At 36.8% G+C, this 23454-nt stretch overlaps 1 protein-coding gene and 1 pseudogene across 13 annotated transcripts in view; one reads left to right on the top strand and one right to left on the bottom strand.

Moving 5' to 3' along the window:
• On the top strand, window positions 10659–10720 carry RNU7-141P (RNA, U7 small nuclear 141 pseudogene; annotated as a pseudogene).
• Window positions 15676–23454, bottom strand: part of PHACTR3 (phosphatase and actin regulator 3) — a 270203-nt gene continuing 262424 nt past the window's right edge. For all 13 annotated transcript variants that reach the window (NM_001199505.1, XM_017027628.2, XM_017027626.3 and 10 more), the window contains 4 exons: window positions 22957–23018; window positions 21852–21992; window positions 18122–18198; window positions 15676–16272 (listed from right to left, as the gene is read on the bottom strand). In NM_001199505.1, coding sequence (NP_001186434.1) covers window positions 16257–16272; window positions 18122–18198; window positions 21852–21992; window positions 22957–23018 — 296 coding nt within the window. In that variant the 3' untranslated portion in view covers window positions 15676–16256. The remainder of the gene's footprint in view (window positions 16273–18121; window positions 18199–21851; window positions 21993–22956; window positions 23019–23454) is intronic.

The raw sequence follows: 23454 nt of genomic DNA, 5'->3' as shown, positions 1-23454 counted from the left end.
AGCTTTATGCAATTATTAGCATCAGCTAAGATTTATTGATAGAGTAGCGGGGTTGCTATTTTAAGAGAGTGACAGCGTTACAATATTAAATACCACTCAGGACTTGCAAATCCATCTTGCCCTGTGAGACTAATTGCATCATGTCTTATCACCCTGTTTACCTCATCGTCAGCCAAATTTCCAAGACTCCTAAATCATACCTCATACTTGATTTCAATACTGTACTATATGTGTAATCCATCCCAGGTTCTTTATTCTTTCCAACTCTTCTAAAATCCTATCATTACCAGCAGTTGTGCCCCTCTAAACCTCAATTTCCAACATTATCACTCCAGCCTATCTTTCCAACTTGCTTTGTATAGTAGTCTCAGGCTATTTATACTTTTTCTCTATTCCTGTTACCTTCTTGTCTGTCCTTCCTTCCTTACCCATTCTAGATGCCAGAGTTCAAAATAATACTCTCTTGCCCTTTCTCTTCCTGTCAACCTTATCCACTAATTCTTAGCTGTCATTCTACCAATTGAACAGCACAGGAGAAAATAATACAATCAGGCTTTAAATGTATGGCCACGTACTTCAAATGGGCACTCAACATTGCTCAACAGTCCTTACTCTGCTCTCTTTAATTGGCTTTACCACATTTCCAGAGTATTATTGCATATAAATACCTCTTTCCTTGATTCTTTACCTTTGAGCTGATTGTCTAACCTCATAATTTTCTCATCTTCACCCTAAAATCTAACATGTTTCCTGCATCAAGACCAGCATTTTCTGATTTCTCTTTCAGTCCAATAGCAGATTTGTTTATTTAAGAACAATCACCCTACTAGTGATTAATGGGTTTTAATCCCATTATCTTTGATTTTCCTCTCCTGATTTTTATAGTCCATGTTAATTAAATAAGTAAATAAGTAAATAAATAGGCTTCCATTGACATCAAGTTCTCCTGAAACCACTGCCCTACCCATATAATTATCCATTCACTTTTACAGAGAATATATCAGAATAATCTTCTCAGGTTACTATCTCAACTTCTTTGCTTCCTTCCCTCAATGCAGCTCTGCCCCTACTATTTCATCAAAACTACTTTTATCAAAATCAACAGTCATTTAAGTAAAAACAGATTAGATTTGGCAACATAGCCTCTCAGTGGCATTTCATGCTTAAAATCCTCTGCTGGCATGTATTTGCTACTCTTCTGTGTCTTTTCCTTGGGTTCATTCCTAGTCTCTTTCTTTTCCTCAGTCAGTACTTTCACCTTAAGTAATTTCATCTAGTCCCATATAATAACTATTTCTGTGTTGATGATCTCAAATTTATAAACGTTCTGACCTTCACTTTGGACATCAGAACATTATAAATACTGCTGTATTGACGTTTCTAATAAGAATCTCAACTCTCAAAATAACTTGATTTGTCTCCCTTACCATTCTTTCTCTTCATCAAAGAAAAAGTAAACTTTGTCTTCCTATCTCAATGAAGTTACTTTTAACTACCCAACTATTCAAACCAAAACCTAACAGTAATTCCTGAATTATTTTCCTTTTAGCCAAACAGTAAATTCATCAACAATTCCTATAGATTCTACTGCCAAAATATGACCCACATCTGAATACTTTCTGCCACTTGCACTGTCTCTGTGACAATGTCAGTATAATTTCTCACACAGACAATTTCAACGGCCTCTTACAATGGCTTTTCAGCATTTATACTTTCCCTTCCACACTTTTTTCACTTAGCAGCCAACACTGTCTTGCTAAAGCATAAATCATACCATGTCACTCCCTTACATAAAACTCTCCAGTGACACACACTCTTAACCAGTGGGTCAAGGGACAACTCATAAGGGAAATCAGAAAATACTTTGACAAATGAAAATGCAACATACCAAAACGTGATCCGTTGAAAGCAGTGCTCGGAGGGATATTTATAGCTGTAAGCACCTACAATAAACAGTAAGAAAGGTATCAAATCAATAACCTTACTTTATACCTTAAAGAACTAGAAAAATTTAAAGCTGTCAGAATCGATGAAATAATGAAGAACTAGATCAGAGATAAACAGAACAGAAAAACAACACAGAAAATCAATAAAAACAAAATTTGGTCCTCTGAAAAGATCAAGAAAATAAACCTTTAGCAGACTGACTAAGATAAACAGAAGACTCAAATTACTAATGTGAGAAATGAAAGTTAGGGACATGACTACTGAAATTTCGGAAATAAAAAGGATTCTAGGAGAATACTATGAATAATTATATATCAATAAATTAGTTAACCTAGATGACATCGATAAATTCCTAAAAACACAAATTACCAACACCGACTCAAGAAGAAATAAAAAATATCAACAGACTTATAACATGTAAAGAGGTTGAATTAGTAATCGAAAACCTCCCAACAAAGAATTCTATCATTTAAATAATGCCAGTTTTTTTAATTTTTTCAAATTTATTTATTTATTTTTTAGAGACAGAGTCTCACTCTGTCACCCAGGCTGGAGTATGTTGGTCTGATCTTAGCTCACTGTAACCTCAAACTCCTGGGCTCAAGTGATCTTCCTGCCTCAGCCTCCTAAGTAAGCTTAGGACTCTAGGCACGTGCCACTATGCTCAGCTATTTAATATTTTCTAGAGAATGGGGTCTTGCTGTGTATCCCATGCTGGCCTTGAACTCCTGGCCTCAAGTAGTCCTCCTGCCTTGGCTTCCCAAATCACTGGAATTACAGGCATGAGTCACCATGCCCAGCCCAGTCCTTCTTAAACTCTTCCAGAAAACAGAAGAGGAGAGAACATTCCAAACCACACAATGGCGTCATTACACACTAATATTCTCTGTGAGTATAGATGCACAAACCCTCAACAAAATAGCAAACCAAATCCAGCTTCACATTAAAAGCATTCCATACCATGACCAAATGGATTTATCCCAGCCAAGCATGGGTGGCTTAACATAGGAAAATGAATGTAATATACCATATCAATAGAATGAGGGAAGAAAAAGAAATATTCTTAGTTGATGCACAAAAAGCATTTGACAAAATCCAATACCCTTTTATAATAACACTCAAAAAACTGGAAGTAGAAGGAAAATTCCAAAACATGATAAAGAGTACGTATGAAGCCCTATAGCTTACATAATACTCAATGGGGAAATACTAAAAGCCCCCCTGCCCTGCCAAGACCAGGAATAAGACAGGGATGCCTGCTTTCACTGCTTGTATTCAATATTGTACTAGAAGTTGTAGCTAGATCTAGAAATGATGCAAGAAAAAGAAAAAGATTTCCAAGTGGGAATGGGAGAAACGAAACTATTTCTCCTTACAGGTGATTTGATCTTATGTCTAAGCAATCCTACAGAGTCAAGAAAATCATTAGAAGCTAATACAAATTCAGCAAAGTTGCAAGATACAAGATCAACAGAAAAATCAGTTGTATTTCTATATAATAGAAATTAACAATACAAAAATGAAATTAAGAAAACAATGTCCTTTACAATAGCATCAAAAAGATTAAAATTCTTAGGAATAAATTTAACCAAGGGAGGTATAAGACTGAAAACTACAAAACATTGTTGCAAGAAATTAAAGATGGCCTAAATAAGTGGAAAGGTAATCCCATGGTCATGGATTGGAAGATTTGATATGTTAAAATGGCAATACTCCCTGAAATAGACTACAGATACAATACAATCCATATCAAAATCCTAATGGTCTTCTTGCAGAAATGGAAAAGCTAACCCTAAAAATCATATGAAAATGGAAGAGACCCAGCATAACCAAAAAACTCTAATGAATAAAGTTGGAGAACTCATACTTCCCAAATTCAAAATTTACGACAAACCTACATTATTGAAATTATGTGGTACTAGCATAATGATAGACCTCTAGACCAATAGAATGTAATTGTGTGTCTAGAAATAAATCCACCCATCTATGGTCACCTGAGTTTCATCAAGGGTATAAGACCATTCCATGGGGGAAAGTATAGTTTCTTAAATTGTTCTGGGACAATTGGACAAACACATGCAATATAATGAGGATGGAACCTTACTTCAGATCATGTACAGAAATTAATGGATTAGAGACCTAAATGTAAGAGCCAAAACTCTGAAACGCAGGAAAAAAATGCAGGAGTCAATCTTTATGACCTTGGATCTGGCAGTGGATTCTTAAATATGATACAGATACAAGCAATGGAAGAAACATTAGATAAATCGGACTGTAGCACAATTCAAAACTTTTGTGCATCAAAGGACACTCCCAAAAAGTGGAAAGACACCCTACAGAATGGGAGAAAATATTTGCAAATTGTATCTCTGAGAGTCTAGTATTCAAAATATATAAAGAAGTGTTACAACCAAACAACAAAACACAACCCAAATACAAATGGCCAAAGGACTTGAATAAGCATTTCTTCAGAGAAGACCTACAGATGGCCAGTAAGCACACAGAAAGATATTCAGCATGATTAGTCATTAGGGAAATGTAAATCAATACCATAATGAAATGCCACTTTATCCCCACTTGATACCTAGAATCAAAAAAACAATAAATTTTGGTGAGGGCGTGGAGAAATTGGAACTCTTGGACATTTCTGGGGCAGTATAAAAGAATGCAGCCACAGTGGAAAACAGTTTGGTGGTTCCTCAAAAAGTTAAACGTAAGAGTTACCATATGACCCAGCAATTCTATTAGGTATATGCCGAAAAGAATTTCTATTAGTCTGCTTTGGCATTGCTGTAAAGAAATACCTGATACAGCATAATTTATACATAATAGACGCTTAATTGGCTTGTGGTTCTACAGGCTTTATGGGAAGCATGGTGCTGACATCTGTTTACCTTCAAGGGAGGCCTCACAAAGCTTATCATGAGGGAAGGTGAAGAGGAAGCAGGCATGTTATATGGTGAAAGCAAGAGAAGAGAGGGAGGGAGAGAGAGAGGAGGAGGTGCCACACGCTTTTAAATGACCAGATCTCATGAGAGCTCACTCACTATTGTGAAGACAGCATCAAGTCATGAGGGATCAGCCCCTAGGACCCAAACACCTCCCACCAGGCCCTACCTCCCACATTGGGGATGATAATTCAGCATGAGATTTGGTGGGGACAAATATTCAAACTACATCATTCTACCCCTGGCCCCTCCCAAATCTTATATGCGTCTCACATTGCAGTATACAACCATGCCTTCCCAAGAGTTGCCCAAAGTCTTAACTCATTCCAGCGTTAACTCAAAAGTCCCAAGTCTAAAGTCTCATCTGAGATAAGGCAAATAAATCCCTTCCACCCATGAGCCTGTAACATCAAAGGCAGGTTACTTACTTCCAAGATACAATGAGGGTATAGGCATTGGGTAAATATTCCCATTCCAAAAGGGAGAAATCAGCCAAAAGAAAGGGGCAACAGGCACCATGCAAGTCCCAAACCCAGGAGGGTAGTCATTAAATCTTAAAGCTCTAAAATAATCCTTAACTCCATGTCCCACTTCTCATACATCTGAAATCTAGGTAGAGGGTGCCAAGCCTCATTCACTCTTGCACTCTATGCACCTGTAGGCTTAACACCACGTGGAAACCACCAAGGCTTACGGTGACTTGTGCTCTCCAGAGTGGTGGCATAAGCAGTATCTGGGGCCCTTTGAGCTGAGGCTGGAGCTGGAGTCAGGGATGTAAGGAGCAGTGTCCTGAGGCTGCACAGGATATGGGCCCTGGGCCTGGCCTACAAACCATTCTTCCACCCTAGGCCTCTGGGCCCCTTGTGGTAGGGGCTGCAATGAAAGTTCTCTGAAATGCCTTCAAGGCCTTTTCCCCATTGTCTTGATAGTAGCACTTGGTTCCCTTTTAGTTATGCCACTATCTCTAGTAAGTGGTTGCTCCACAGCCTGCTTGAATTCCTCTCCCAAAATAGCTTTTTCTTTCTCTGCCACACAGCCAGGCTGTGAATTTTCAAAACTTTTACTCTCCATTTTCTGTTTAAATATAATTTCCAATGTTGAGTCATTTCTTTGTTCCCACGTGGGAGCATAGGCTGTTAGAAGCAGCCACGTCACTTCTTGAACACTTTGCTGCTTAGAAATTTCTTCGACCAGGTACCTTAGGTCATCATTCTCAAGCCCAAACTTCCACAGATCCCTAAGGCATGAACAGAATGCATCCAGCGTAAAATGTGTGACCTTTGCTCCAGCTCCTTGTAAGTTCCTCATTTCCATCTGAGACCTCTTCAACCGAGACTTCACTGTCCATATCACTATCAGCATTGTGGTCACAACCGCTTAACCAATCTCTAAGAAGCTGCAAGCTTTCCCTTATCTTTTTTTTTTATTATTATACTTTGTTTTAGGGTACATGTGCACATTGTGCAGGTTAGTTACATATGTATACATGTGCTATGTTGGTGTGCTGCACCCATTAACTCGTCATTTAACATTAGGTATATCTCCTAATGCTATCCCTCCCCCTTCCCCTACCCTACAACAGGCCCTGGTGTGTGATGTTCCCCTTCCTGTGCCCATGTGTTCTCATTGTTCAATTCCCACCTATGAGTGAGAACATGCGGTGTTTGGTTTTTTGTCCTTGTGATAGTTTGCTCAGAATGATGGTTTCCAGCTTCATCCATGTCCCTACAAAGGACATGAACTCATCATTTTTTATGGCTGCATAGTATTCCATGGTGTATATGTGCCACATTTTCTTAATCCAGTCTGTCATTGTTGGACATTTGGCTTGGTTCCAAGTCTTTGCTATTGTGAATAGTGCCACAATAAACATATGTGTGCATGTGTCTTTATAGCAGCATGATTTATAATCCTTTGGGTATATACCCAATAATGGGATTACTGGGTCAAATGGTATTTCTAGTTCTAGATCCCTGAGGAATCACCACACTGACTTCCATAATGGTTGAACTAGTTTACAGTCCCACCAGCAGTGTAAAAGTGTTCCTATTTCTCCACATCCTCTCCAGCACCTATTGTTTCCTGACTTTTTAATGATCGCCGTTCTAACTGATGTGAGATGGTATCTCATTGTGGTTTTGATTTGCATTTCTCTGATGGCCAGTGATGATGAGCATTTTTTCATGTGTCTTTTGGCTGCATAAATGTCTTCTTTTGAGAAGGGTCTGTTCATATCCTTCGCCCACTTTTTGATGGGGTTGTTTTTTCTTGTAAATTTGTTTGAGTTCATTGTAGATTCTGGATATTAGCCCTTTGTCAGATAAGTAGATTGCAAAAATCTTCTCCCATTCTGTAGGTTGCCTGTTCACTCTGATGGTAGTTTCTTTTGCTGTGCAGAAGCTCTTTAGTTTAATTAGATCCCATTTGTCAATTTTGGCTTCTGTTGCCATTGCTTTTGGTGTTTTAGACATGCAGTCCTTGCCCATGCCTATGTCCTGAATGGTATTACCTAGGTTTTCTTCTAGGGTTTTTATGGTTTTAGGTCTAACATTTAAGTCTTTAATCCATCTTGAATTAATTTTTGTATAAGGTATAAGGAAGGGATCCAGTTTCAGCTTTCTACATATGGCTAGCCAGTTTTCCCAGCACCATTTATTAAATAGGGAATCGTTTCCCCATTTCTTGTTTTTGTCAGGTTTGTCAAAGATCAGATGGTTGTAGATATGTGGCATTATTTCTGAGGGCTCTGTTCTGTTCCATTGGTCTATATCTCTGTTTTGGTACCAGTACCATGCTGTTTTGGTTACTGTAGCCTTGTAGTATAGTTTGAAGTCAGGTAGGCGTGATGCTTCCAGCTTTGTTTTTTTGGCTTAGGATTGACTTGGCAATGCGGGCTCTTTTTCAAGTGGGCGTCATCCCTGGGATGCAAGGCTGGTTCAACATATGCAAATCAATAAACGTAATCCAGCATATAAACAGAACGAATGACAAAAACCATATGATTATCTCAATAGATGCAGAAAAGGCCTTTGATAAGATTCAGCAACGCTTCATGCTAAAAACTCTCAATAAATTAGGTATTGATGGGACGTATCTCAAAATAATAAGAGCTATCTATGACAAACCCACAGCCAATATCATACTGAATGGGCAAAAACTGGAAGCATTCCCTTTGAAAACTGGCACGAGACAGGGATGCCCTCTCTCACCACTCCTATTCAACATAGTGTTGGAAGTTCTGGCCAGGGTAATCAGGCAGGAGAAGGAAATAAAGGGTATTCAGTTAGGAAAAGAGGAAGTCAAATTGTCCCTGTTTGCAGATGACATGATTGTATATCTAGAAAACCCCATTGTCTCAGCCCAAAATCCCCTTAAGCTGATAGGCAACTTCAGCAAAGTCTCAGGATACAAAATCAATGTGCAAAAATCACAAGCATTCTTATACACCAATAACAGACAGAGAGCCAAATCATGAGTGAACTCCCATTCACAATTGCTTCAAAGAATAAAATACCTAGGAATCCAACTTACAAGGGACATGAACTACCTCTTCAAGGAGAACTACAAATCACTGCTCAATGAAATAAAAGAGGATACAAACAAATGGAAGAACATTCCATGCTCATGGGTAGGAAGAATCAATATCATGAAAATGGCCATACTGCCCAAGGTAATTTATAGATTCAGTGCCATCCCCATCAAGCTACCAATGACTTTCTTCACAGAATTGGAAAAAACTACTTTAAAGTTCATATGGATCCCTTATCTTTCTTTCTTCTTCTGAGCCCTCCTCACTCTTCTAATCTCTTAACCAGTTCCAAACCTGCTTCCACATTTTCAGGTACCTTTATAGCAATGTCCCACTCCTCAGTACCAACTTTCTGTATTAGTCCATTCTTACATTGATACAAAGAAATATCTGAGACTGGGTAATTTACAAATAAAAGAGATTTAATTGGCTCACAGTTCTGCAGGCTTTACAGGAAGCATGGTGCTGGCACTTGTTTGGCTTCTAGGGAGGCCTCAGGAAGCTTACAATCATGGTGGAAGGTAAAGAGAAAGCAGGCAAGTCACATGGCAAAAGCAGGAGCAAGCAAGAGAGTGAGTTGCAGGGGCAGATGCCACTGATTTTTAAATGACCAGATCTTGTGAGAACTCACTATTGTGAAGACAGCACCAAGCCATGAGGGATCCACTCCCGTGACCCAGACAAATCCCACCAGGCTCCACCTCCAGCACTGGGTATTACAATTCAACATGAGATTGGGGTAGGGACAGATATCTAAAATATAGCAGAATTGAAAACAGATTGAACAAACACTTGGATGAGAATGTTCACAGCAATACTATTCACAATAGTCAAAAGGTGGAAACAACCCAAATAGCTGTCAACTGATGATAAATAAACATAATGTGGTATATATCCATACAGTGTAATATTATTCAGCTATAAAAGGAAAGGAGTATATAGTCATGCTACAATGTGGATGAACCTCAAAAACATTCTAAGTGAAAGAATGAGACACACAGGTCATATATTTTAGGATTTCATTTATATGAAATGCCCAGAATAGGTAAATCCACAGGGACAGAAAGCAGATTAGTGGTTGCCAGGGGATGAGGGAAAGGAAGAATGGGGAGTGACTGCTTAAAAGTTATGTTGTGATGAAATGTTTTGGAGCTAGATAGAGGTGAGGTGGTAGTTACATAACATTGTGAATGTACTAAATGCCACAGAATTATACTACTTTAAATGCCTTATTTTATTAATCTGCCTTTCATCTGAATTATTAAAACTTATTAAAACCAAGCCTTTATATCACGGGCTAGAAGGCCCCACATGAGCTGACCTCTGCCTCCCTTTACCCTTATTTTGTACTCCTTTCCGCCTTGTTGAGTATGCCTCAAGCATTACTTGAACAATCTCACTTTTTTCTAACTCTTTGGTTTTGAGATTCCATTTTCCTGGAAACTCTTGCTGTTTTTCACGTGTCCATTTAAGTGGTAATTCTTTAGAGAGCACTTCCCTCACCATCCAATTAATGTTACTATTTCTGTCTATCATATAGCAGTTTTTGGTATCTGAAATTTCTTTATTTCTGCCTTGCCTCCACAAACTCCACTTCTGTAAATTCTGTGTGGTAGGAAACTTGTATGTCTTATTCATCACAATTTTCAGAAGCTAAAAGAGTGTCTGGAAAAGTAGGCTTACAACAATGTGAATGAACAAAGTAATGAATACGGCAGTTTTTTTTTTGTTGTTTTTTTTTTTTTTTTTTTTTGAGACGGAGTCTCGCTCTGTCGCCCAGGCCGGACTGCGGACTGCAGTGGCGCAATCTCGGCTCACTGCAAGCTCCGCTTCCCGGGTTCACGCCATTCTCCTGCCTCAGCCTCCCGAGTAGCTGGGACTACAGGCGCCCGCCACCGCGCCCGGCTAATTTTTTGTATTTTTAGTAGAGACGGGGTTTCACCTTGTTAGCCAGGATGGTCTCGATCTCCTGACCTCATGATCCACCCGCCTCGGCCTCCCAAAGTGCTGGGATTACAGGCGTGAGCCACCGCGCCCGGCCAATACGGCAGTTTTAAGTAGGAATTTACTAAGTTCAAAGCGAACTAATGTGTCTCCTAAAATTCAAGTCCTATATGGTGTCAGCATTTTCATTGTAATTGATAAAGTATTAACCAGCCATTTGAACATCTATTATATGATATGCACTGAGCTCAAGTCTAGATACACAAATGAGTAATAAATGAACCCTTCCATGGTGTTACAGCTCTTTTAGAATATGTCTAGCAGGTTTTTCAGTTTTCACCAGAATGCCCACCTCAAAACAGAGATGAACTCCCTACTTAAAAATGAGGATATGTGTGCTTTTAATGTCATGCAGAATCATACAGATTTCCATTTCATTGGACCCTTAGAGGAATCATATAGGCAAATCAAATGTACATAGACTTCATTGTTAAGACAATGTATTTGTAATGGTTAGCTTTAGTTTTTCTATTTAAAGGCGCATGAAAATATTCTGAATTGACGTCTACAGGAGAACAACATTTTAGGAATACAGGTGTGTTGAGTGACATCAATATGTTGTACCATCTTGAGCTTTAGATAATATACTTTTAGCTTATGCTGTGATAGCAACAATTTTAAATAAAAGGAACTTGGAGGAGTGGAAGTCACACTAATGAAACACTTGCCTTTAATAATGATGAGGCTTTATTTACCTAATTTGATGTACATTTTGTACAAGTCAAATACAAAGACAATTGGGTTTATAAATGAGTATTGAAATTTGGAATAGATTTGAAGTTAAAAGGTTTTAAGCTTATTTAAAAACAATTTAGCTATTTGACTTCTGTGTAATTCATTTCTAAAATGTTCTATTATATGTTTATTTAAATTTTTTAAGTTCAGAGCAAGATCTAGCAAAGTTTGTCCTGAGGGGCTATACAGAAAATGTCGTAGGCTTTGTGGCCCAGAAGGCAAATTTCAGAGTATCACGTCGGTGCTTATTATAATCATTTCAATTGTAACCATTTAAATATATAAAAACCATTCTTAGCTTACTGGCCACTAAAAGGGCAGGGGCTGGCCAGATTTGGTCTGTGGGCTGTAGTTTGCAGACTTCAAGTTCGGAAGGGAAATCTTATAGATCAGAACTCTCTGTTCTTTATTATAAAATTTTTCCTTAGTTTATCTTACTGTTTCACAGAAATAGTGATTTAAATCAATTTTGCATAGCAGAGGCTAATGAGTATATTAATTAATATAGCTAAAATTCTTGATTGTTCTATTTTAAACATATTAAAAATAAATGATCATTGTAGCTAATGACTTAAATTTCTTACCTGGATTGTAATCTAACACCCTGGTGTAGGTTTACCGCATGTCCTCAACCAAATAGAGCTGTAAGGTGGTAACTGTCCCAGAAGTACACATGGAAAAGGACATGGAAGAGAAGAAATTTTACGTTAGTATAGCTAGGCAGAAACCTAAATACTAAATTCTACAGCCATTACTGTAGTGATCTCATTGCCACCAAATCGTAGTATTATGGATGGCCAACACCAACTTAAAAGGCCAGCAGATCCTTTAAATGAATAATAGATGGAGTGGTTTTCATACAGCATTTAATTCAACATGAAATTTGTAGTCTACAGTGACAAATTCTGCCAACTCTGAGTTCAGTGCCTAGTGTTGAGCTTCACAGTTGCTGGAGTTAGTTCTTTAACCATTCTGTTACCACCTATTAACAGTTAAACCACATACAGTTAGTGTATAAGTTTCTTATCTAATTAAAACTTAAAGTATGGAAGAATCATATATGCTATGAATAAACAAGTAGAATTTTGAGCAAAATAAAATACCAGCAAATAATATCAACAAACAAATCTAACTTGGAATGTAAAAATTGAAGCAAGATGATAGGTGGTTCTGGAGATTGTGCTTTCTGCCACATCAGGTGTCACCATTATAATTAAGAAGTAGGCTATCTGGAAAGCAGAGAATGGACTGGTGGTATAGACCAGTCTTTTAGGGAACACACCTGAATTGTAGTAATACATTCAGTGTATGTATTTTTGAGAAGGGATAATAAACTGCATTTAGAAAGGAATAATACACATATGTAACATGTCTGCAACTTGAAACATTAAATTATTGTCATATGTACCATATATCCAGATTTCTTTCCTCCCATTGCTTAGTAAGAAAACTGAATTTTTAGAATTTCCCCATTTATATCTTTAAGATTTACAGTTGAGATTAAAAACTTTGAAAAGGTTTTTTAAGAAAATTTTTATTACTTTAAAAATACTGCTCTATTTTCATAGAACTATGGAACTGCTAACCAGTACTTTCTGTTGTTCATTCGAACAAACATTTTTTGTTTGAACTAGTAGTATGTTCCTAGTATCATCACTGTAAATAAATTTGCAGCTAAATAAGCAAATGGGATTTATAGAAATCTACTTTTTGAAAATATTTTTCATATATTCAGTTTCATATGTTCACTTGCTTACGAATATCTTCTGAGATGTTTTCATATGAAAAATGGAGAAAAAGGTCTCTGGAAAAAAACTAGACAAATGGGTATCGGAAGCATATAGTAATAGCAGTTTTAATAGTACGATTAGGATTTTGCATTTCTGAGCTTGAATTTGTTGTTGAAGGACTGTAGGTACATAGCTAAAAACTTTGACTTTACTTCCAATGTATAATAAATGTAGGCCTGTAATTACCATATCTTTCCACAAGGTGGATGTCTTGATGTTAGGTTCTTCCTCCCCGCTCCCACCACCATTTCAATTGTCAAAAAATTACTTAGGTGATATGATTTCAAAGTCTCTTTATTTTATTTTTATATTTTTTGAGACAGGGTCTTGCTCTGTTGCCCTGGTTGGAGTGCAGTGGTGCAATCACGGCTCACTATGGCCTTAACCTCCCGGGCTCAAGTGATCCTGCCACCTCAGCCTCCCTAGTAGCTGGGACTACAGGCGCATACCACCATGCCCAGCTAATTTTTTGTTTTGTAGAGATGGAGTTTCGCTATGTTGCCCAGGCTGGTGTCGAACTCCTGGACTAAAGCAATCCACTCATCTCGGCCTCCCAAAGTGCTGGGATTACAGGCATGAGCCACCATGCCCAGCCCCCTTTAAATTTTTTTAGAAATACTTTTTACAAAGTCATATAATGTAGTATTTCCTCTATTACATTAGCTTAAAAGTTACTAGATGTTTCTAGAAGATATTTAATTTCCTCTCACTAAATTACTAACATGCTTGTAAAAATGTTTTGAACTCCTTAAAAACAGAACTTATGATTTAAATATTCATGGTTGCTTTAATAATTTTTTCTGAAAATAGGGGCAAATGATTTGTAAATTTATTGCATAAAAAGCTCATTATTGAATACTAGTAATGAAGAATTCTGATAATTCATATATACTGTTATTCAGTAGGACAAATAGTTTTTTCTAAATCTGTTGGCTGTTAAGTATATAAACTTTCTCTTCAAATTATAAATATATGCAAATGCGTGTACATATACATGTATGTCATCAGTGTAATATGACTTGTGAATTGCTTTTTAATTTTATTCCTCTAACTTGATAGTTGTGATGTGCAGGTGGAGAGTAAATATACTTGATTCAATTTTAGTTTATCTCTTAACCCTTATAATACCTGATAAGAACATGAAATATGTAAGTATAGAGTAATAGTTTGTGCATAATAAAAACACAATGGTAGAAGTTAGATACTATTGCCACAAATTTTGATTTAAGTGAATATGTCTGCTGGTTTTAGGATATCTTAGAACCTTTGAGTCTGAACCAGTCCAAACCCTCCTTTGGTTATCCTGCACTTTACCTTTTTAGTTTTATTATCCACTAGTTATGGGACTTGGGGAAAAAACTAAATATATGTCCCATCTAACCAGGTCATTTCTAACTATAGGATCTGCCTGGTTCTTTTGTTAAGCAGTACTGATCTTTTGTACTTTGGGGGCCAAGGTGGTTTCTAAACAGTAGCACCTTTTCCTTTTCTGTTTCATAGTAAATATATTAATATTTCTATGTGAGGGAAATTGAAATCTTAGTTTTACATAATTTGGGCTCCCATTAATATTTTAAATTGAATATTAAATACAGAGAGCTTCTAATATGTTGCTTAAGATAGAAAAGAGGTAAAGTTTTGGCTACAAATAATGGGTTATGAATAACAGAAAATATATAATGTATATATATATATATATATCAAATCCTTTAAATTTAACTGACTTCTAATTAGAAAGGATTTAGATACATTTCACAAACAAATTGAGGCTCAGAGAAGTCAACTGATTCACAGAAGGTTACAGAGCAGCTAAGAGGTAGAGCTGGAATTTTTCTACCATAACAATTTCTTATTAAAAAAAACTATAATTCAATGAATAGTGTGTTTTGCTAGTCTCTAGGACTGATCATAAGTCACTTTGGACAAAGTGCTAACATAAAGACTTGGCAGTTTCTGTGGGCGTCTGACCCAGTAGCAGTCTTAAGTAGAAAAGGAAAAATAGTGGAAAGCAATGAGGTAGCATATGTGGCAAGAAGTCATAGAGGACACTCAGTTGCTCCAGGTGCTACCTGGCAACCATATCAGTAGCTAACATTTATTGGATTCCCAGAACGTCCTCAGCAATGTGCCAGCACTTTAGCTACTTTGTCTTATTTAGATACTACAGCAATGTTGTGTGAGAGAGATATGACCATACTATAGAAAAAACAAGTAACTTGTTGAATAGCACAGAGCTTGGATTTGTGCACAAGTTCTGCAAGCTCTGAAAGTCATGCTCCAAGTTACTGTGCTTCCTGCCTCACCAGTATACCAGGAGGGAAGGAGGAGGGAAGGCTCATCTCTGTAAGGACACTTATTTGAAAGCCAATTAAAAATATTTTTCAGGGAACATGTATTGTTAGTTTCCCCCTTTGTGCCAAGATTTTCACCTTTGTGCTGGGGTAAATTTCCTTTCTTTAACAGTGTTTGCAGAGGTGAGCTTAAAAATACTCTAAAGAGGCATACTTTTCATTTTGATAGAATTTTTCAACAAATTATTGCTTATTTCTTGGTTAAAGGCACTCAATTTGATTTTCTAAGGCACAAACCAAACACATAAAAAGTTGGAATTCTCATTCATGTGTTTGGATTCTGATCGTTCACAAGTAAAAATTGACTTGTTTCACAGATCCCTGTTCTAAAGTACCACTCATCCCAACCACAAGAAAATGTAAAGCCTGGGTTAATTTCCTGCAATAAGTAGTCATTTAATTAAAGAACAAAATTAACAGGAATCAAAATGTTGCAGCTGTATTTTTTGTTAGACATTATATAAAAAAGGAAAAGTATAATACAGTAAATCATCTTGTATAACATGAACTTAAAGAGTTTTCAAATTAATTATGATCAGGATAAAAATGTCTTTTGAACATAATACTGAATGACACTGTCACATGTCCCTCATGTCAGAGGCCTGGGAGTGGTGAGCCTGCACATGCACGTTGCCCGTCCTCCATTACACTGCAGAACTGTAAAACAAGGTTGAAAGGCAAACAACAGTTTTCTTCTGATAGAGTTATGTTGGGTCTTAACTGACCCCAACAGTTCACACTCCTCAGACACCAAAGAAGGAAGGAAGTGTGTCCTCTGGTTACTCCTCTTGCAGGTAAGTGTGGTCAAGATTGCACCTGTGTGTGTGATCCTACTCTTCTCACAAACACAGCAGGTAGGGTAGTCTTGAGCTGAACTTCAGGAAAGTTCCCTGATGAATGTTCAGTGTTGGTATCAAAAAATTAAACACAAATTCTTCTCAGAAGAAAATCTCTATGGCCTGTGGAATCTAGAGATTATAAAAAAGACAAAGAATTTAAGGTTATTCATTTCTAGCAGTTAAAATAGCCAAAAACCTTATACAAATAAATTTGCTGCTATTAAAAAGATTCTCAGAAGTCCCATATGTAAAACATGAGGATGGAGCTACTCTGGTTAAAATAGGGTAGAGTCTCAGAGGGCTCCCCACTCTCAGGCCCCTGTTATATGCTGAATTCTTAGGACTATCTAGAACTTAGTTTTAAACCTGTGAGTTAAAAGCCCTTGAAGTACACAGAAAGGCCAGGGCTTTGCTAAATCAGTAGAAATGATGAATTTGTTAATAAATTATTGAAAATTATAGTAGAGTTATGACTTTTTGTAGAGTAATATGTTCATAGTAATTTTAAAACTCTTAAAATCTCATAACCAAAAATACCGTTCTGACTCTTGAATTGTTGAAATAATTTTAGGGTCTTTATACCACATTTTAAGTATTAGAGTCATTATTTTAGAAAGCTATCAACTTAGGACAATAAACATCTTTACTAAACATTTAATAATGTATAATCGGAAAATGTACAAAATTGAGATTGCAATATATAGAATATGTATTCATTCTATTTAAGACAGAATGAACATTAAATGTAATTGTGCATGATTTACTGAAACTGTTTTTCCTAAACATTCATATGACCTATTCCTCCATATGACCTATTCCTCCCCAAAAGTATGTTAGTCATGGGAGGGAACCTTAAAAAACAAACTCTTTGCATAATTTTTTCCTATTCATCCAACTTTCCCTTCCCCTTGATATATTCACCCTAAAACCATTGGTTAAGGTGGAATTCCATTGTACTTAGTTTCTGTTCTATAGCCACATTAATCTTACAGAGTAAATCTTTCAGATAACAATTGCAGTGGCCACTTTGGAACAAACAGAAAACTAAAGCTATTATTTTAGTTTAAGGCAGTATCTATATGCAGGATTTCCTTTCTCTTTGTATGTGGGCCTTGAGCATCTTCAGATAAAGGAGAAGACAAAGCAACTGATACAGTTGAAGGCTTGTTGCATCACAGTCATCTGCTTTAGAATCAGAGATGTTTGAGAACTTCACATAATTACTACCGGTCATGGCCATGGAAAAGAAGTGGGGGGAAATACTGAAAAAATATGCAGTTCAATAAGTAAAGAGAGTTAAATCTTTTCCCAACTTCGTCATCACTAAGAAGCCCAGTGTCATCCCTTGCATATCATAGCATAGACAGAGAATATATTCATCTTAATGGGAAAAGTCTTGATTATGGGAGAATCAGCCAATATATTCCCAATGGGACATAAACTCCATGAAGATGGGAGCCTCCTTTATCATATTCACTATTGCATTCTCAGCACTTACTCAAATATTTACTGAGGAAACAAATACTCAGCTTTAGGAGAACGCTGGCTGTGTTAAAGATGTGACTAATAATTTACGATAGGAAAAAGTAAATGTGAAGGTGGGGAGTGACTAATTTCACAAAAATCTGTAAGTATAAACAGGTGAGTTCTATAAATTGGAGGAATTCTGAATATTAGAGGGGAATTAAATACACAGAAAAATTACTTTCATTGCCTTGAGGCTTATTTTTGTTAAATATGCATTAACTACTTAAATAAACCGATATTGTTACCATACATATCACCTTTCACCAAGTCCTAAAGGAAATAATGGGAGCAGGCAGCATTCTTACTTGAGGTACATTCTATTTGTTCAATAGAGTTCTCTGGAAAAATGCTGAATTTGTATAGCTGGATACATGGTTTGTGGCGGGGGACGGGGGAAGGCGGTGTGTGTTTCAAAAATAAGTACCATGAAATTCACAGAAACAAATCTGACCTTGTCAAGTGCTTGCTTGATGCATGTACCTCCATTTCATTACTTTTGTACTCATTTAATTCTTTACGAATTGCTGCCTGAAATTTAAAAACAAGACATTGTTTTACAGGATATTAAAAAAATCAGGAAATTAGCATCGTGTTTATAAATTAACCATTCCTAATCCTTGTTGACTCTATTATGTAATATACAGAAAAAAACAAACAATTTTTTGGTTCATCATTAAAACTGCCATACTCATTATTATAGTCCTACCAAGCTAGTATGTAGCTAATATTCTGGAAGTCTTTGTAAAAATTTTATTGATACATAATATTTGTACATATATACAGGGTACATGTGATATTTTGTTATATGCATAGACTGTGTGATGATCAAGTATTTAGGATGTCTACCTCCAGTATTTATCATTTCTATGTGTTGGGAACATTTTAAGTCCTCTCTTCTAGCTGTTTTGAAATATACACAACATAGTTGTTAACTGTAGTGACCCTACTCTGCTATAGAACATTAGAACTTATTCCTTCTAATTGTATGTTACTACTGGTTAACCAACCTCTCTTTCTCTCCCCAAACCCTGCCACCCTTCCCAGCCTTTGGTATCTATCATTCTACTGTCTACCTCCATGACATCAACTTTTTTGATCCCACATGAGTGAGAACATGCGATATTTGTTTTTCTGTGCCTGGCTTATTTAACATAATAACATCCAGTTCCATACATGTTGTCAAAAATGACTGGATTTTCTTAAGGTGGAATATTCCATTTTGTGTGGCTGTGTATACACACTGTATTCACATATACATATATACACGCACTACATTTTCTTTATCCATTAATCTATTGATGGACACTTGGATGATTTTGTATCTTGGCTATTGTTAATAATGCTGCAGTGAACAGGGGAGTACAGATATCTCTTCAATGTACTGATTTGATTTCCTTTGCGTGTATACCTAGAAGTGGCATTTCTGGATCATATAGTTTTTAAACAATATTTTGAGGAGTCTCCATACTGTTTTCCATAATGGCTGCATTAATTTACATTCCCATCAACAGTATATAAAAGTTCACTTTTCTCCTAATCCTTTCCAGCATGTTTTTATTTTTTTAATAACTATTCTAACTGGAATAAGATGATATCTCATCGTGGTTTTGATTTGCATTTCCCTGTTGATTAATGATGTTGAGCATTTTTTCCATATACCTGTTGGCGATTTGTATGTCATCTTTTGAGAAATGTCTACTCATGTCTTTTGTCTACTTTCTAATGGGATTATTTGTTTTGTTTTTTGACTGTTGAGTTCCTTGTATATTCTGGATATTAGTCCCTTTTTGGATGAATAGTTTGCAGATATTAATATTTTCTCATATTCCCTGTTGTCTCTTTACTCTGTTGATTTGTTGTGTAGAAGCTTTGTAGTTTAATATAGTCTCATTTGTTTATTTTGGTTGCTATCTGTGCTTTTGAGGTCTTAGCCATAAAATGTTTGCCTAGACCAATGTCCTGGACTGTTTCTTCTGTGTTTTCTTTTAGTGGTTTTATAGTTTGGGGTCTTACATTTAAGTCTTTATTCTTCAAGTTGATTTTTGTATATAGTAAGAAATAGGGGTACAGTTTCATTCTTTTGCCATATGGATATCCAATTTTCCCAGCACCATTTATTGAAGAGTGTCCTTTCCCCAGTTTATGTTCTTGGCACCTTTGTCAAAAATCAGTTGGCTGTAAATAAGTGAATTTTTTCTGGGTTTTCTATTCTTTTCCATTGGTCTATGTGTCTTTTATACCAATATTATGCTGGTAGTATAACCTTATAATACATTTTGAAGTTAGTGTGATGCCTCCAGCTTTGTTCTTTTTGCTAAGGATTACTTTGGCTATTCAGGTTCTTTTTGGGTTTCACATGAATTTTAGGATGGCTTTTACTATTTTTGTGAAAAATGACATTGGTATTTTGATAGGGATTGCATTGGTCATTTTATGGTCATTTTAGCAGTATTAGTCCTTTCTATCCATGAGCATGAGATATCTTTCCATTTGTGTGTGGCCTCTTCAATTTCTTTCATCATTGTTTTGTAGTTTTCCTTGTAGAGGTCTTTCACCTCCTTGGTTCAATTCATTTTCAGGTATTTTTGGTACCTATTTTAAATAAGATTGCCTTCTTGATTTCTTTCTTAGCTAGTCCATTATTAGTTTATAGAAATGCTACTAATTTTTGTGTGATTTTGTGTATCCTATGGCTTTAGTGAATTTATCAGATCTAAGTTTTTGGTGGAGTCTTTAGGTTTCTCTAGGTATAAGATCATATTGTCTGTAAAGAGGGATAACTTGACTTTCTCTTTTCCAGTTTGGATGCCCTTTCTTTCTGTTGCTCGATTGCTCTGGCTAGGACTAGTATTATGTAAGTGTTCCATTCATTAATTTGCTGAACTGTAGTGGGAAGACAACCCTTCCCCAAACTCCGTTCACTCCATACCTAAACGGACCAAGCACATGCTTAGGGCACTAATGAAACAGGAACACCAAGATAATGAGTAAACTTCAGCTTTTGGTGAACTTGGAATTTTATAATCAGAGATAATCTAGAAATAAGCCTTTCTAACTTCAGCATACATTAATATTTTGGCTTCCCCAGGCCCACTTGCATCATGTACTTCTTTCTCAGATAAACACTCGAGGGACCTGATGAGACTGAAAACATCAAACACAGCCTCTGGGACAAGGAAAGTCTTTAAGAACTTTAGGGGTATATTATTCTCATACTCAAACACATCTGCAGACCACCAAAGATACTTCTCCTCGCATCACTGTGATCCTCTGGGCACATCAGTCACAAAGAACCAGGCAAGTTAGTCCAACACGTTCACATTTCTCCAAGTTGATGCAATATCTGTGTACATACTCATACTCAGCATATGAAGAATGAAGAACAATTAGCAAATTCCTTGCCTGAATGTATAATTTTTCTCTTCCTAAAGGCTTTAAGTCTTCTGAAAATTAATAGAAGCAAGAAGGTGACAAAACTCTATGGACACTCTTGGGCTTAAATCTTGCCAGTCAAGTGTTTGATCACAGACAAGAACTGACCCTCTCTGTGCTCACCAAATGTCATGCAGAGACTCTATGACCTACTACCTCCTTGTGTTCTTCCTGCCTCTCTAGCTGTTCAGTTCAGACTTCTTAGGAGGTTCTCAGAGATACCTCAAACTGCACAAGTCCAGGGGGAGAATCTAGAACCTTTTCTATACTGTAGAGGCTTTCTTGAATGCCTCTTTGTCCCCACTGTAGCTCTTTTTGTTTAAACTTGTCAGTTGATCTCTTATGGCAGCCTTGCCCACCTTTGATTTATCCCTTATACCAAGGTTTCTCAATTTCCACAGTCTTGACATTTGGTACTAGATAATCCTTTGTTGTGGGGGCTGTTATGTGCATTGTGAGATGCTGAGCAGTGTCCCTGGCCTCTACCAGGAGATGCCAGTAGCATCCCGAGTTGTGACAATCAAAAATGTCTCTAGACATTGCCAAATGTCCCTCGGGGCAAAACTGTCACCTAGCTGAGAACCACTTCTCAATCTGACCCTGAATTATCTTTGAGAAACCAATATTTACTGCAGTATACCCTTAAATAGTTGAGGGCTCCCATTGTCTATGAATAAACTCCCTGGCATGACATATTTTGCCTTTATTATATCATCCAACACCCCCCACCAGCACAGGCAGTTAGGTACCTTATCTGCTGCTGACAGTCTCGTCCAGGGTTTGTCTGCCCTCCTGTCATAGTCCTGCGCTTTTGCTACTTCCACGTAATCACTGAATCGTATCAGAATTTTTCTGTCTCTTAATTCATCAACAGTGGGTCTCTGATTAAGCTAAAATTAAAGATCATCATAGTTAAGTATCACATGCCAAACTAGCTTTTTTGAAGTACTCTGAACAAACAGCACTTCTCTTAAAAAACAAAACAAAACAAAAAAAACCTGAAACTGGAAAATATAACCCAAATACAAGCAATCTCTAATGTGAAGGGCTGAAATTATATACTGTACTCTTAAATCACAATCCCCCTTCCTCCAACATATTTTATCAGAAGGAGTCACACCCCCAGTAGTACATAGCACCAGCTCAAGGAATGGTTAGTGAATTAACTTAGATTTTATGGCATCACTGGCTTCAGATACAATTAGATAAGCTTTTTAAAAGTACTAATAAAGTTATTATATGTCCAGCTTAGGAAGGATATTCTGTTAATTTCAAGAGAATTATTATGGAGCAGCACAACGAAGAAGGGGAATCCAGAACACTTGAATTTAGAAATGGTCAAGGCTTTAAAAGTAGATTAAGATTTATAGAGTTGCTACCTGTATTGGCCATAGTAAATGTTAACTGTTTGAGTCACAGAGAACAAACCTTTGAGTCTAATAAAGCTTTCTGCAACTGAGGAACTTCTAGACATATTGGAGGTGAACAAAAGCGATGAGTGTAAAATGTGACTAAAACACTGATACCCAGGTATGCTTTTCCTAGACACTGTAAATTAAGAAAATGCCAATCAACTTCTGGCTTCCACCTGAACATAAGTAAAAAATGTCATGTGCATTGTGCACCTCTCCAAGTGCTACCGTGCTAGGGAAGGACTTCGTCCATAGGGAACGTCAGAGGGAGTTAATTCATTGTTGCTGAGCAAATATCCTGATTTAACTGATGCCATGATGTCCAGGAGAACATTATTCATGATCACAGAGTGATACCTAGCATTACCCATCCCACCTGCTACCGAAGCAGCTGTTCTCTAGACCACCTTTTATTATTCAGGCAATAAAATGCTTATACTACCTTTCTTGTCAATCTTTGCTTGATTTCTCTTCTTTCTTCCTGCTCTGTCTGATCATTCCTTTCTGTGAAAGATTAAAATAGGAAAAAAAAAATAACAAAGAGAAACAGGTTGAAACGTTCTTCTCTTCAGCAGGGAAGTGTTCCCAAGATATCCATATTTCTGGGAGCTGAAGTTAATTCCACATCACTCATGGTGTTTTCTTCCCACTTTGTCAGTCACTGCTCAGGAGATCATGGTCTCATTACACAGAAATACTTGTACTAAGCAAAGCTTTGCTGTCATCCCAACCTGGTCTCCTCAGCCCTTCTGTGCATTAGAAACAACCACAGATATGGCTGCTGTTTGTTTAAGGAAGTAGACACCTCTGTGTCTGTCTTTCTCCCCAAATATCTTTATATTTACATCTAGCACTTAGATGCCACATAAAAAAAGCTGTAGTAGACTAAGTAAATAAATGTATATGTACATTTCAATATAAATAGCACTGCCACTAATTT

This window comes from Homo sapiens, chromosome 20 (genome assembly GCF_000001405.40).
Source record: "Homo sapiens chromosome 20, GRCh38.p14 Primary Assembly".
In the NCBI taxonomy this organism is placed as follows: Eukaryota; Metazoa; Chordata; class Mammalia; order Primates; family Hominidae; genus Homo; species Homo sapiens.
Note: the sequence above shows the minus strand (reverse complement) of the source record. Positions and strands in the feature narration are given on the sequence as shown.